A 14047-nucleotide genomic window follows, 5' to 3' on the forward strand; every position below is an offset into this window, starting at 1 on the left:
GCAGGAAGATCCATTAACCATTATGCCTTAGCGCACCCACTCATACTCACTCATATTCCCCCAGGGGTGCTCTGATACGACACTGTCCACGGACTGCACACTCTTCAGGTCTAATTAATGATGCCCACCCTCCCCACCTACTAAACACATTTGCAATTTAAGCATCTCTAGCTCTCCACTACCACCCACCTTTCTCCTCCACTGTCCCTTCTTCTCCATGGAGATAATTAACTAGTTGACTACTTATTAGTCCTTCAGTTGATTAGGATTTCAGGCTCACACTAAGGCCTTATCCTAAAGTCTATAAAGATTTGTGACACCGACAGGGTAAAAATTCGAAACCAGCTAGCAAAACTTTCCTGAAGGATAGAGATACTCAAGATCTAAAAATTATCTGAAGGGTTGGATTCCACACCATGAATCCCCTTTTCCCCCTTCCCCACAGCTCCCTATAGTGAAAGATCCGTAACCTTAGGAATAAATGATAAATCCTGTGACTATTAGGTTTTTCCTGGGAGTTCCTCGGAGACCCGGAGGTAACCGTGTATGTGCGTGCGAGTGTGTCTGTGTGCGTACAAGGTCCGGAGAAGCGAAACGGTCGCAGGTTCCTACAGACCCCGACCCTGTTCCCTTGGCCACCTGGTCCCCGGTAGCTGCATCCCTGGGCGGCGCACGCAGTGAAGCGTCGCGCTCTGGCGCCGGTGCCGCACCGAGGGGTATGACTACGACCCCTTGCGCGTGCCCGCCCCCACCTCCGCACCTCGCGCCAGCCCGCGCAGCGTGACCGGCAGCCGCCGCAGACCCGGCTCGGGGAGGCGCGGAGCGCGGCGCGCTGAACCGGAGAGGCGGGCCGGCTGCTGCCTTGCGTTCGCCACGCTGTCCTCCCTCCTCCGCTCCCTGCGCCCCACCCCTGGCGGCCGCGCTGCCTGGCAGCCCGGGAAGCCGCGGCACAGCTGCTCGGCGCCTGCAGCTCCGGCTCGGGGGCTGGAACCGAAGCGGGGGCGGCGGGAGCGCGGAGACCACAGCCCCCGGGGAGAGGCGGAGGGGGTCCCTGGCCTGGGCGGAGAGGCTGAGCTGAGTGCGCGTGAGAAAGAGGGCTGCACCGCTGCTCGGCGCGGACTCTGCCAGCCCCAGCTTCAGCCCCGGCTCAGGTCGCCGCAGCCCGGGAGCCTCCCCGCTTGCGCCCCAAGGCACGCGCGGCACAGCCATGAACACCAACGATGCCAAGGAGTATCTGGCCCGGAGGGAAATCCCTCAGCTTTTTGAGGTAGGGCTAGAGCTGGCCGACGGGCGGTAGCATCCGGGGACTGCATCTCAGGGGTTCGGGTTGAGGCAGCCGCGCCCCGTCCCACCTTCCCCACACGGGGCATGTAATGAAGGGGCTTGTAGAAGCGCACTCGCCCGCTCCCCCGAGGGTAGTCGCCTTTCCCGCGGGTTGCCAGGGTCCTTGTCAGAAGGCTGGGCTTAGAAGCCTGCATCTCACAGATCAAGTTTCAGTCTTCCAGCAGGGTTCTGAAAGCAGCCTGCTCCCATCGCGCCCCTCGGATGTGGACACCCAGGGTGGGCTGCAGACCGCGGCCGGGCCGCACTCTCTGGGGGCGAGGGCCAGGTCAGGTGGCTGCACTGTCGCCCAGCAGCGAGTAAAGACTCGAAACTGAGGGAGCCAGAGCCCTAGTCACTCTGCTGGTCGAGGGTCGGAACCCCTGGGGGAAAGAGGAAATGTGGACGAAGGCAGCCCTTCCTGGAGACAGCTTGGAAGAGAGGGATGAAGATGCAAAAAGCAAAACCCAACCTATCAAGTGCCACCTCCCCGGTGACAGGCCCCCAGCCTTGCTCTGCGCTTTCGCTGAATGAACTCCTGAGCACGTTTTTCCCGTTGCCTAGGAAGGGTTGGGCCGCAGGTTTCGCCAGTGCTCGACAACCCACCTGGAGATAGCGGGTCGGGGAGGGAGCTGCGAGGGGGGCGGACTCCTGTTGCTCAGTCTTCAGACCGCAGCACAGCATCATCTGCACCGGGACCCGGGAATGGGGGGACACTTGGAGACTGAGAGAGAGGAGGCTCGAGGAATGAACCTTGGTCTGTTCTAAGCCACAACCCCTGTCTCAGGTCGTTTGGCTTCCTTTCCTTCTCTTTGTATTTGAATTTAAAAACATTCCTGAATCTCAAGTGCTTTTGCTTGAAGTAGGGGGGAGGAGGAGAAAAGAATAGAAGCAAGCCAGGCTTCCTAAGCGAGCTCTGAAAGGAGAAATCCATTCACTGCAAACCTCGTTCCCCATTTCTGAAAACGGATAGACTGATATCGTAAACTAAAGGTCATGAGGGTTTTTCCCCCCGGTTTGGGGGATTTGTTCTGTTAAAAGGAATTTTAAAGCACCACTTGAGAAAATAATTTTGCCTCAGTTTCCCTAAACTATCTTTAAAATGGGTTGCCATAATTACAGGTCTTCTTTTCTCTCACCTCTATAAGCCACCGTTTTCAGGTCATCTGAAGTCAAGATTTCCAGGTAAACCACTCACTGAACTCAAGCGTGGTATGTGAAGCCCAAATCTAGCAAATGTGTTACTCCTGCGTGAAAATAATTAGGTGGTGTTGCATAAGGACAGGTCTTGAGAATATGTGGGAATCTTAAGAGTTGTTTTTTTTGTTTGTTTTTATTTTCAAAAAGTAAATATGGAAATTAAGAGGCGAAGGTTTTTCTCACAAAGATTACTACTGAGATATATTTCATTTCTACGCTTCTAAAAGAATCATTAAAAACATCTGTAGGAGGACCACGTGATTGCAAAAATTCCTACATAGTACATCTTTTTTTCTTTGTAAATGTGGGTACTGTTTTTCCTCCTTGGTGGAAGGTAACCACAGAGAAGTTTGATAGTTTATTAAAATCTACACTGTGCATGCAAATAAGTTATGGCAGGCCTTTTTGTTAAGGTTTTATGTTTCTTATTTACTTTTCTGCATATGAATGGGATAAATAATGCACACCCAGAAAAGGAAGTCAACTTGCTTGGGTGAAATACAGTAATGGACTTAGATTCACTTGTGGACAATGAGAAGATGGAAGTAGACTGCTGGTGACCTCAAAGGCTACATCCTTCAGTAAGACGAATCTGTGCTATGCGCAGCTCAAGAGGGAAGGAAAATCTGGCAGTTCTCCATGTGATTAGTGTAGACTGTAAAACTAAAAACTTTAGGTTTTTAAAATGGATTTTGCCCACCACAATATTTTAGGTGTACAAAGTTTAACAATTAGCTGTCTACTAAACACCAAGACATTGGCCCCAGCTGTGGATTTTAGACGCTATTACAGACAAACTGACTGATTATTGTATTGACGTATTGTCAGACAAGTAAATATATCTAACTGACCTTTTCAGATTTTTTCCTAATTTGAGACATCATGTAAGCTAAATGGAATATGGGATATCTCTGGTACGTTCATGTTTGAAATGTGTTTCCAGTTTTAGACTTTTTTAAACCCACTTTCTTATTATTTTGTCATGAGTTCTTAATTCTGGCTAACCTTATGGTGTGTATATTGATCTTGTAGCTTACAGCAGAGATTTGGCAATCAATTTGAATACTGTGGAAAGTCAGATTATTCAAGGTCTCAAAGGGTTCACTCAGAGACTGAGCAATAATATGTGCTGGTTGTCTTCAATCCCTGATAGTGGCTGGCTATTAGAAGAAAAGATTTGAATTATCCGTGAAGGAATGGAGCTCATTGTCCCATTTTAAAATCAATGCCCTTTGGTGAACCAGTATTGTTTAAGGACGCTGGAAATGTATATTTTCAGAAAAGAGTCATTGAGAGTGTTCACCCATTTCAGGCAATAGTAGGGATAAAAAGAGGGCATTTTGCAGAGGGCACAGAGAATCTCATGTTTTCTTTTATCTCATATCACGTTTCTGCAACAGGTACAGAGAAGAACATATGGGTTTTGGAATTGGAAACATTGAATTGAAATCCTGGGCCTAGGAGTTTCTAGTTGAGTAAACTAGAGCCATCACTAATATCTCTGAGCCATGATTTCCTAATCTATAAAATGGGGATAATAAAGTCACACAGGGCTGAGAATGCACTGGGTATGCAAATAAATATATGACACAGAGGCTTTTATTTATTAATGAGGCTAATACTGGCTTGGCGTATGGGAAGAATGTGAGAAGCTCAACTGCAATGTGTGTGTATATGGGACAGATTTTGACAAACAAACTGAATTGGATGCCCGGGTAATTTTTTCTGCTCCCTCTGCAATTGAACTTGGCTGATGGAGGTGCACACTCTAGCTTACTCTATTTAGGATTTCAGAAAACAAATGTACCTAGTGAGAATTGCCTACCATTCTGAGGAAATTACACAGGAAATAATTGAAAATAAAATACTGTATTTAAACAGATGTCAGCCCTTCAAAGGGTGTTTTGTATACTAACAATGTATATTGGTAAGAATAATCCTTTATGCATTTTCCATGAAATACTCTAAAGGAAAATATTTTGCACATCAGTCCAGCTTCCAGGAATCAGCATTTCCAAACTGGTAGCATTTTTAGAATCTAGTGCCAGTGACACATCAGACACCATGAACCAAAAAAGTAATAGCAGGATCATGCTTTGTTTCTTTTCCCCTCTGGAATCTCAGTGGATATCGTAGTGACTTACTCTATGTCAAATAGTAATTTTTTTTTTTAGTCTCAGACCTAAATTTTTTTGAGTCTCAGTTAGACTTGAGCTTTGAGGGATTTTTTTTTTCCAATTGGAAAACAGTTAAATATGCACCTACCAAATGCCAGGGAAAGCATCAGTATCTGGGGATTGAAAAATGAATTAGACTCACTCTGTGTTGTTGAAGAGCTTATAGTTTAGAAGAAAGACTATTGCATAACCGAATGGTTTCAGTATAAATGACAAGTATGATGTTTTATGCTGGATACCATGGGAACACAGAAGAAGGGGTTCACAGACAAACCTAGGGATTCAGAGAAGACTTCCTGATAGTAATAATAACTAAAACCAACAAAGTTTATTGGGCACTTACTATGTGCCAAGCATTTAATATGCACTGTACAAATATGAAATTATTTAATTCTTAAAAAACTCTATGAGGTATTTATTATTACCCCCATTTTCTAAAAGAAGAAACTGAGGTTTAGAGACATAAAGGGTGGGTAGGAGTGAGATAAATAATGACCAGGGGCATTTTCACATGCTGCATTTTATCTCACTGTGATGAAGTGAATGGCTCTTCCATTTTAAACTATCTAGTTGCCTGAATTGCTTAAGAGGCAGAGAATGCTGAACTGAAAACTAATTAGGCAAGAATTTAAGGGATTATCTTAATGACTCCATCAGATCGTAATTTCAACTCTAATTGTTTATTAAAAGACAAATGCAAAGGACAAAAACAATCAGAATTCAAAGATGAGCCATAATACTATTTTAACAAAGGTGGGTGGGGTCACGTGCAGTGGCTCATGCCTGTAATCCCAACACTTTGGAAGGCGGAGGTAGGTGGATCGCTTGAGTTAAGGAGTTCGAAACCAACCTGGCCAACATGGTGAAACCCTGTCTCTACTAAAAATACAAAAAGTAGCTGGGCATAATGGTGTGCACCTGTAATCCCAGCTACTCGGGAGGCTGAGGCAGGAGAATCACTTGAACCAAGGAGGTAGAAGTTGCAGTGAGCCAAGATTGTGCCACTGCACTCCAGCCTGGGCAGCAGAGTGAGACTCTATTTCAAAAAAATTAATTAATTAAATTAAATTAAATTAAAGAAAAAACAAAGGTGGGTTTAAAAGATATTTTATTTGTACATATTTTGTTATATTTCAGAGCCTTTTGAATGGACTGATGTGTTCTAAGCCCGAAGATCCAGTAGAATACTTGGAAAGTTGTTTACAAAAAGTAAAGGAACTGGGTGGCTGTGACAAGGTGAAATGGGATACATTTGTAAGCCAGGAAAAGAAGACCTTACCTCCACTAAATGGAGGACAGTCACGGAGATCCTTTCTAAGAAATGGTAATGTATATGGAGAATAATAGACAGTTTTATAGTTATAGCAATTCTCTTTAAAACATGCCATATAGACTATACACAGTGATTTCATTTTTTGAGTTTATAAATGCCTGAAGTCATTGGATCACGATTAATTTTTCTCTGCTACTAATTCTAATCACTTCCATAAAAAGACAAACAAAATTATCTACCATTGTCCAACAATTCACTAGAGGCTTAATGAAATTTTTTATTACTGACTTTATTATTTTGCAAAATAAATTACATTAGCAAGCCATACATACATTTTCCTTAAAATTGCAAACAAGATTTCTCCAAATAAATGAATAGAATACGGGTATAATTGATAGTTATTACATAGCAGTTCAGCATTTTTTATTAGCTAGAAAGAGATTTGGCTTACTAATATTTCCAAGTTCAGAGTTCATATTAATGCATCTGCATAAATGCATGTAAAGTTTATACTAGTGATAAAAGAAAAACTTCAGCCAAGTTAAATCTAAAGGAGTTTAAGTGAGCAATGAACAATTCATGAATTGGGCAACCCCCAGAAACACAGCAGATTCACAGAGAAGCCAGCGCAGCCACGTGGTGGAAGAAGATTTATAGACAAAAAAAGGGAAATGATGTATAGATATCGGAAGTGAGGTACAGAATGGCTGGATTGGTTACGGTTCAGCATTTGCCTTATTGAACACAGTTTGAACACTCAGCAGTGTATGAATGGTTGAAGTACAGCTGCTGGGATCAGCCAAGACTCAGCTATTGTTACAGGCGCATACTCCTAAGTTAGGTTTTCAATCTTGTCTACCTATTAAGCTAGGTTGCAGTTTGTCCACAAGGACTCAAATATAGAGGTACAGAGTCCTTCTCAGGCCATATTTAGTTCACTTTAACACTAGTTAATTCAATAAAAGTGTATTAAGCATCTACTGAATGCAATGTATTAATCTAACACATTAATCTAATCTAGGCATTTGGGTGCTATAAAGGAAGTTGGAGAAGTAAACTTGTTTAAATTTTAGGAGTTGTTTAGAACTAAAAACCGCAGTTCATTAGAGAAGATTTGTGGTGTTTTGATCTCTTTCTGAAATATGTGCTTATCAGAATTAGGGGTTCAACATGAGCCAACCAGCCTTTCAGGCTCTAGATGAATTTGAGACGTATAATAGTATGTGCAAATTAGAATCAGTTCAAATCAGGGGGAACTAAATTCTGTTCTAGTGGCCAAAATCATTATATTTTCAAAACTGAAACCATTCTCAAAAATTGTACAACAAAAGGTTTATGCTATACAGACAGAACCTGAAATGGAGACAATTCTATCTGCAATGAATATCAGCAGGAAGCAATCTTAGTTGCTTAACCTTATTAGTCATGACCTACATAGATTTTATTTGAATGCAGTGTGGGAAAAAGCCATAGTGTGCTAATTTTCAAGGAACACAAGCAAAAGAAGGCAAACAGAAATAGCTTTTCCTCAGAAACATCTCTAAAGAAAAGAGTCCTTCACCATTCATGCAGAAGTCAATGATATGACTCTGACCAAACTTCCCACTGCTGCTGAGAAGTAATGAGATGTCTGAAACTGCTATTTAAAACTAATTTTAGAAACTTTCAAATGTTATAACGGACCAAAAAACAGAGAAATAGAAAATTTTTGATGTGACTATAAGGTAATAAGATTAGCATTCTGAGTCTTAGAGAGCAATTAATCCCATTAACCTACACGGTCTCTCACCACTGTCCATCTTACATAGGCAGGAGGTAAAATAACACTCAGCACAAAATAGCCATGTGGTTACATTCTATGGGAAGTCCTAAGGTAAGGTTGTGTCTTTATATACTTACTAAATCAAATTTGCACCAAATATTTTTATTTGACCCTTAGAAACCTTACAATACCAAAGAGATTTTTCTCTTACCATACAATCTATTCATAGACCCACTTTCTGGTTTGATAACCAAGATGAGTCCCAGGTATAAAGTTCACGCTTTGTAAATCAGCAGGATTTCTGGTTCACTGAGAACAGCCTGGTACACGAGTAGCAAATGAGCAGAATTGGAGTTTAGGACTCCAAACTGTGCAGACACAGCTTAGATGTGCCCTCTTTGTGGGCAGCAGGTACTCATGGTTGTATCTTTAGCCAGTTGCTGCTGCAGCACACCACTTAATACATTACTGCTTTAGTGAATAAATGATATTTTTGTGGGCTTGAACAGTTCATACACATCCCCAGCATATGGGAAGCTTACTTCCCAGGGTGTCGTCATACTTAATGTCTGGCTCCCTGTTAAATACATACCCCATACTTTTGTTACATCAAGGGGGGTAAATATGGGGATCTACTTTCTAAACCTTAAAGTACTAATAAACCTCAGGTATACATTTTAAAAATTAAATCTAAGAAGTTATGACATCTACTTAGTCGGAAAGCTGCTCTGACTGGGTGTAAAAGTGACTGCAACAAAATGAAATCTTGATGCTTCTATTTGATACTATGATTGTACACAGAAGATAGGCATGTGTCAATAGAGAATGGTAAGGACTGTGGTCAAACTAGAGAGAAGAACTAGAGAGAACAGTCATTGTTTAAAAACAGTCAAGTACACCTGTAGTCCCAGCTACTCGGGAGGCTGAGGCAGGAGAATGGGGTGAACCCGGGAGGCGGAGCTTGCAGTGAGCTGAGATCCCGCCAGTGCACTCCAGCCTGGGCGACACAGAGAGACTCCGTCTCAAAAAAAAAAAAAAAAAAAAAAAAAAGTCAATTACAAATTTTGTAAAAATGTCCAGCTGAACAAAACACATCTGTGGGGCTATATTGGGTACACAAATTGTGAGTTTGGAATTCCTGATCTAGCAGGATAAGCTAAAACAAGAATGGAAAATGTAGGCTTAATTTTCATTAAAATAAGATTGCATGTTAATTTTAGGTTCTCCATACCTACTGATACTTTACCAAAATTCCCACACAGGGATCTTTTAGTTAATCATCAAATACAAACTTTTCGTATACCTATGGTGGTAAGAATGTTGCATCACACGGTCTTGTATCTGAAAGGTATGCTAAAAAACGGAAAATGATTTCTAAACTGGTTGGTCCTGTAATAATACAATTCTGTTTCATGAAATGCTTTCTTCATTTGTGCTTTGAAGGTTTTAGCTATAATGTGTGGAATAGTTTATTACATTCAACAAAATTGCTAACTGCCCAGTATCTTAAAGCATACTGATTATTTCTAGAAATGATTTTTGAAAAAATATTGCCATAGCTATGTTAATGTGTTATTACTATGAAAAATTATTCTGTGAAATGAAACATTTTCATCATCTAATCAAGTTACTTTCCTAAGTTAAAATATGATAAAGCAAGGATTAAATTATTGGCTGACTGTCTTTAAAGCATTAAATATGAGATAAGCATCCCTTTCTTTCTGCCACATGCATACAATTGAATAATTATCTGTGAATAAGAGTTCTAATCCCATAACCCCAAACATTCATAGAGCCCATCTTCCAGAATATCTCATTATCTTATATTCAACATGTCCAAAACCAAACACACTATATTTACTTCAAAACCAGCACTTACTTCTTTTCCTGTTTCCATGAAGTCAGCCAGTAAGTCAGTTGGGCAATAAATTAACCATTTATTGAGTACTACTATGTGTCAGACATTCTTTTAGGACTGAAAATACAACCACCAGGAAAGAACAGACATGGCACCTTCCTTTGGGGACCTTACAGTCCAGCAGTGAAATCAAGCAGTAGAAATATAAGCAGGAGCACAATGGCACTATAGGAAAATCATAGGTTAAGGAATTAACCATGTTAACAAAGGGCTGAATCTAACCTAGCTTGGGGTTCAGGGTCGGCTTCCTGGAAGAGGTGATGTGCTTATACTTGGAGCAGAAAGCTAAGTGTGTGTTAGCTAGAGAAGGATGAAAGAGATTGTACCAGGGAACAGAGAAGAGAATTTCCTGAGGCAGACAAAGAGGCTGTAATTTGGTCAGGAATGAGAGAAGTCCAATATTGCTGGAGCAGAAAAGAGAGAGCAGAAAGATACTATATGAAATGCAGTATGGTCCTTATCCTTTTAGACTTGAAACCTGGAAATTGTTTTTGAACTGTCACCTCCTTTCATTTCTCATATTCCAACCCTAATCATATCCTTCAGATCTGGCCATCCATTTCCATTTCCCCTGCTGCCACTCTAGCCTAAGCCTTCATTTCTCATCTGTTGATTACTTTAACAGCCTAGCTGCTACTTTTTCTGCTCTTAGTCTTTCCCTGCTCCAATTCATTCTAACTAGCAGATTAACCTTCCTAAAACCTATATTTCATTTCATTGTTTCCTTTCTCTTACCAACCCTCCCCTGCAAATCCTCCACTGGCTTTCTACTAGATTAAAGCTAAACCCTTTACCATGGTAAAGGATTCAGGGACCTCCATATTGAACCACGCTCTACCCACCCATTTTATCTTCTGAGTTTTCTCTATGGGAAACTATTTCAGTAAGATGTTCTTTTTATTACTAATTCAACAAATATTTATTGGACACTGACCATCTGCCAAGCACAGTTCTAGATCCCAGGGATACAGAGCTCCAGACCGTAGGTAAGGCCCCTGCTCTCATGAAACTTATAATCCAATAGGAGAAGACAAACAATGAATGAATGGATAAATGAAAAAACTCTCAGATGGTGAAGTAGATGCTGTGCAGAGCATTAGAGTGATGTCCCTGAGACTCACTAGGAGGCTGCACTGGATTAGGAAGTCAGCAAAGTCCTCTTGCAGGAGGTGGCCTTTAAGGTAAAGTGTCAATGACAAGAAGCAGTCAGCCATGGGAGCAACAGGGGAAGAACATTTCAGGCAGTTGATTGTGGTGGCAAGCATGGAAGCAGGTAGATCAGTAAATAGTCTATTGTGATATTCCAGGTAAAATATGATGATGGCTTGGGAAGAGTTGTGATAGTAGAGATGGAGAGAAGCATATGCATTTGGTATATGTTTTGCAAATAAAGTCTTGTGAGTAGATGTGCAGAGAGAGGAAAAGAAAGTAATCAAGGATAATGTTTTGAATTTTGTCTAATGTTGGATGAACTGATTAAATTTCAAGGCAGAATAGGATACTGTTGTTGGTGCTTTTCCTGATGTAGCCCTTCCCAGCTCTTTCTAAAAGAGATCTACTGTCATCTGCAGACTACCCAGTGCTTTTCATGAAGCTAAAATGAATCTAGTGGGTCTGTGGTCAATGGCCTTATTTATTGTATCAACAGAGAATGGAAAGTTCTAACAGATCAACATCCCTGGGAGGAGATGTGAGCCTTATGCCATGCTAAGATACAGTAGTCATCTTAGCAGAATTCCTCATGGAAGGGCAGGTGGCCTCCTGTTTGCTTTGTGCAAGTGCCTTTTGGGTAGTTAGTGCTTCTCTGTGCCTCCTGGAATACTGACCCCTGAGGTAAAGAAGAGGGAGCCATAAACTATATATCGACAACAGGTTGAGACCATCTCCCTGGTTTGGACTTGCCAGCCCTGTCTTCCGGTCCTTTTGAGTATGTCATTTGAATTTCTGACTCAGAGTCTTTGTACTGTTCCCACCAACTGTGTTATATTTCCTGCATTTCATCACCTGTGCTTGTCTTTCAAAGTTCAGGTCCTGCCTCCTTTGCAAGTCCTTTCTTACCACTGCAGCCCAAATGTAATTCATTAAATTACCGTGGTGCTTATCAGAGAGATACTCATTTTAACACTTATCGTGGCTGGTGTTCATACAGCTATAAGATATAAACATATAAGCTCTAGTTTATAAGCACTGAAGGGACAGGTCTACATCTTATTCTTATGCCAAATTACTCTTAACACACTAACGTATTGGCATGTTATAAACGGCAACAAATAGCAAATATTTGTTGCCATTGTAGATACAAACTTAAACTTTTACATCTTTTAATCAAGTAGATTAAAAATAATAAGTAAATTGATAAAGTAAAATTAGATGATGTTACAAGATATTCCAATTGTAGGAATTGTTTGCACCCTCCTACTGACCGTGACAGTACCTTAATTTTTTATTCATTATGCCACCAAGCCATTCCATTGGACCACAGTAGCATTTCTGGGTCGTAGAAAGCAGCTTATCTATATTTGTTGAATGAATGAAATACACAATATATAAGCATTAGCTTTATGGACAGGCTGCTGCATATGCTTGTGAAGGTTATGTACTACATAACTCCAGAGAGCACCATTTGCAGAGGCCACGATGTATACAACCTACCAAACAAGACTAGGCAGTATCTGAGAAGGTTCCTCTTAGGGCAGAGGGCGGCAAAGTTTCATGAGCCAAGTTCATCTCACTGCCTGTTTTTATAAATGAAGTTTTATTGGAACACAGGCACACTCGTTTGTTTATTATGTTGTTTATGACCACTTTCATACTACCATGGCCAAGTTGAATAGAAACTGCACGGCTCTCAAAGCCCAAAATATTGACTATCTGACCCTTTACAATAAAGCCTGCTGACCACTTAGGGAGACTTCTTCCAGTTAAGAAAAAAACAAACCCATTTAATTTTAAAATTGCTTTTACTAACTGTTTAAGTGTGAAGAGTGTTTTATTATGGTGTTTTTTCCTTTTCAAAGTTATCTTACTCTTTTGCAGTAATGCCTGAAAACTCAAACTTTCCATATCGGCGGTATGACCGGCTCCCTCCAATCCATCAATTCTCCATAGAAAGTGACACGGATCTCTCTGAGACTGCAGAGTTGATTGAGGAGTATGAGGTTTTTGATCCTACCAGACCTCGACCAAAAATCATTCTTGTTATAGGTATGAGGACAGAAAGCAAAAATTCTCATACCGTTGCTGCCTTTGTTTATATATTTACATTTCAAAAAAGTAAATCATATATGTGCAAATAGTTGGATAATGACAAGCAATAGAAACAAAAGCTCAAGGGACAATAAATGGAAATATTCTTAGTATAAGTTTCAATAAAATAGAAATTGTTATAATTATATAATCTAATGCCTATTGCATTTTCATAGATTCCCAATAAAAGGTCATAGAAATTCTCTATAATGAATCGAAAGTAATACCTTCAAGATTTATTGTCCTGTGGTTTTATTTATTTAATCTTGATCACAGATAACTGAGCCAATTGAAGTTTTCTGAGAGCTGAATGTGGTGGTAGTCCCAGCTAGTAGGCAGGCTGAGCCAGGAGGATCCCTTGAACCCAGGAGTCCAGCCTGGGCAACCTAGTGAGACTATTTCTAGAAGAAAAAAAGAAAGTTTTCTAAACATGATGTGATTTTTCCCCCTTTAAATCAACAAATTAAATTTTTACTCACTATTAACTTTAGAGGGAAAAATAAATAATAATATATTGGTAAAGATTCATATAAATGAATCTTCTTTATGGCAAATTGGCACCTATAATAAATCCAAAGTTTCACTGTTAAAAGACAAACAAATCTAATAGAATAGTGTTTTACATAGCACATAACATCTGAGTATTAACCAAAATAACAATGATAATAGTTCATTTTAAAAGTTGCCACTATGAATCTTATGTTAAATATGGAATTATCGGCCCCATGACATTTCACAAGGAATATAAAATGAAAATGTTTTAAATATTTTTGAAAAATTCCTTTTTGGTCAAGGAGGGAGGATCACTTGAGCCCAGGAGTTTCAGACCAGCCTGGTCAACATAGTGAGACCCTGTCTCTACAAAAAATTTTTAAAATTAGCTGGGCGTGGTGACACACACCTGTTGTCCCAACTATTTGGGAGGCTGAGGTGGGAAGATAGCTTGAGCCCAGGAGTTCAAGGTTGCAGTGAACTCCACTGCACTCCAGTCTGGGTGACAGAGAGACCTCATCTCAAAAAAAGAAAAAAAAATTGTGGCTATTTTTGCAAAGTCTTTCTCAAAATCTATAACAATCATGAAGAGACCTGTGAACATGCAACATGTAGTCATTGTTTTCACATTCCAGTTAGAATCACCTTTCACAGAGATG

General features: G+C 40.6%; 1 protein-coding gene across 8 annotated transcripts in view, besides 1 other annotated feature; it reads left to right on the forward strand.

The window, feature by feature from the left end:
* Positions 773 to 832: a silencer, noted in NCBI's record as "silent region_1001". NCBI's record gives its function as "represses an Ori minimal core promoter by ATAC-STARR-seq in GM12878 lymphoblastoid cells {active_cell/tissue: GM12878}" and the evidence as "EXISTENCE:reporter gene assay evidence [ECO:0000049][PMID:35858748]".
* The window catches only part of AK5 (adenylate kinase 5), a 277948-nt gene continuing 264813 nt past the window's right edge, over positions 913 to 14047 (forward strand). For 2 of the 8 annotated variants that reach the window (NM_174858.3, XM_017001012.2), the window contains exons 1-3: positions 913 to 1267; positions 5835 to 6021; positions 12687 to 12854. In NM_174858.3, coding sequence (NP_777283.1) covers positions 1208 to 1267; positions 5835 to 6021; positions 12687 to 12854 — 415 coding nt within the window. In that variant the 5' untranslated portion in view covers positions 913 to 1207. Of the gene's footprint in view, positions 1268 to 1980; positions 2506 to 5834; positions 6022 to 12686; positions 12855 to 14047 lie in introns of those variants that run through there. The other 6 variants (XM_005270739.6, XM_047417740.1, XM_047417721.1 and 3 more) reach the window with 5 other exon arrangements.

The sequence above is a fragment of the Homo sapiens genome, chromosome 1 (assembly GCF_000001405.40).
Source record: "Homo sapiens chromosome 1, GRCh38.p14 Primary Assembly".
Classification (NCBI taxonomy): Eukaryota; Metazoa; Chordata; class Mammalia; order Primates; family Hominidae; genus Homo; species Homo sapiens.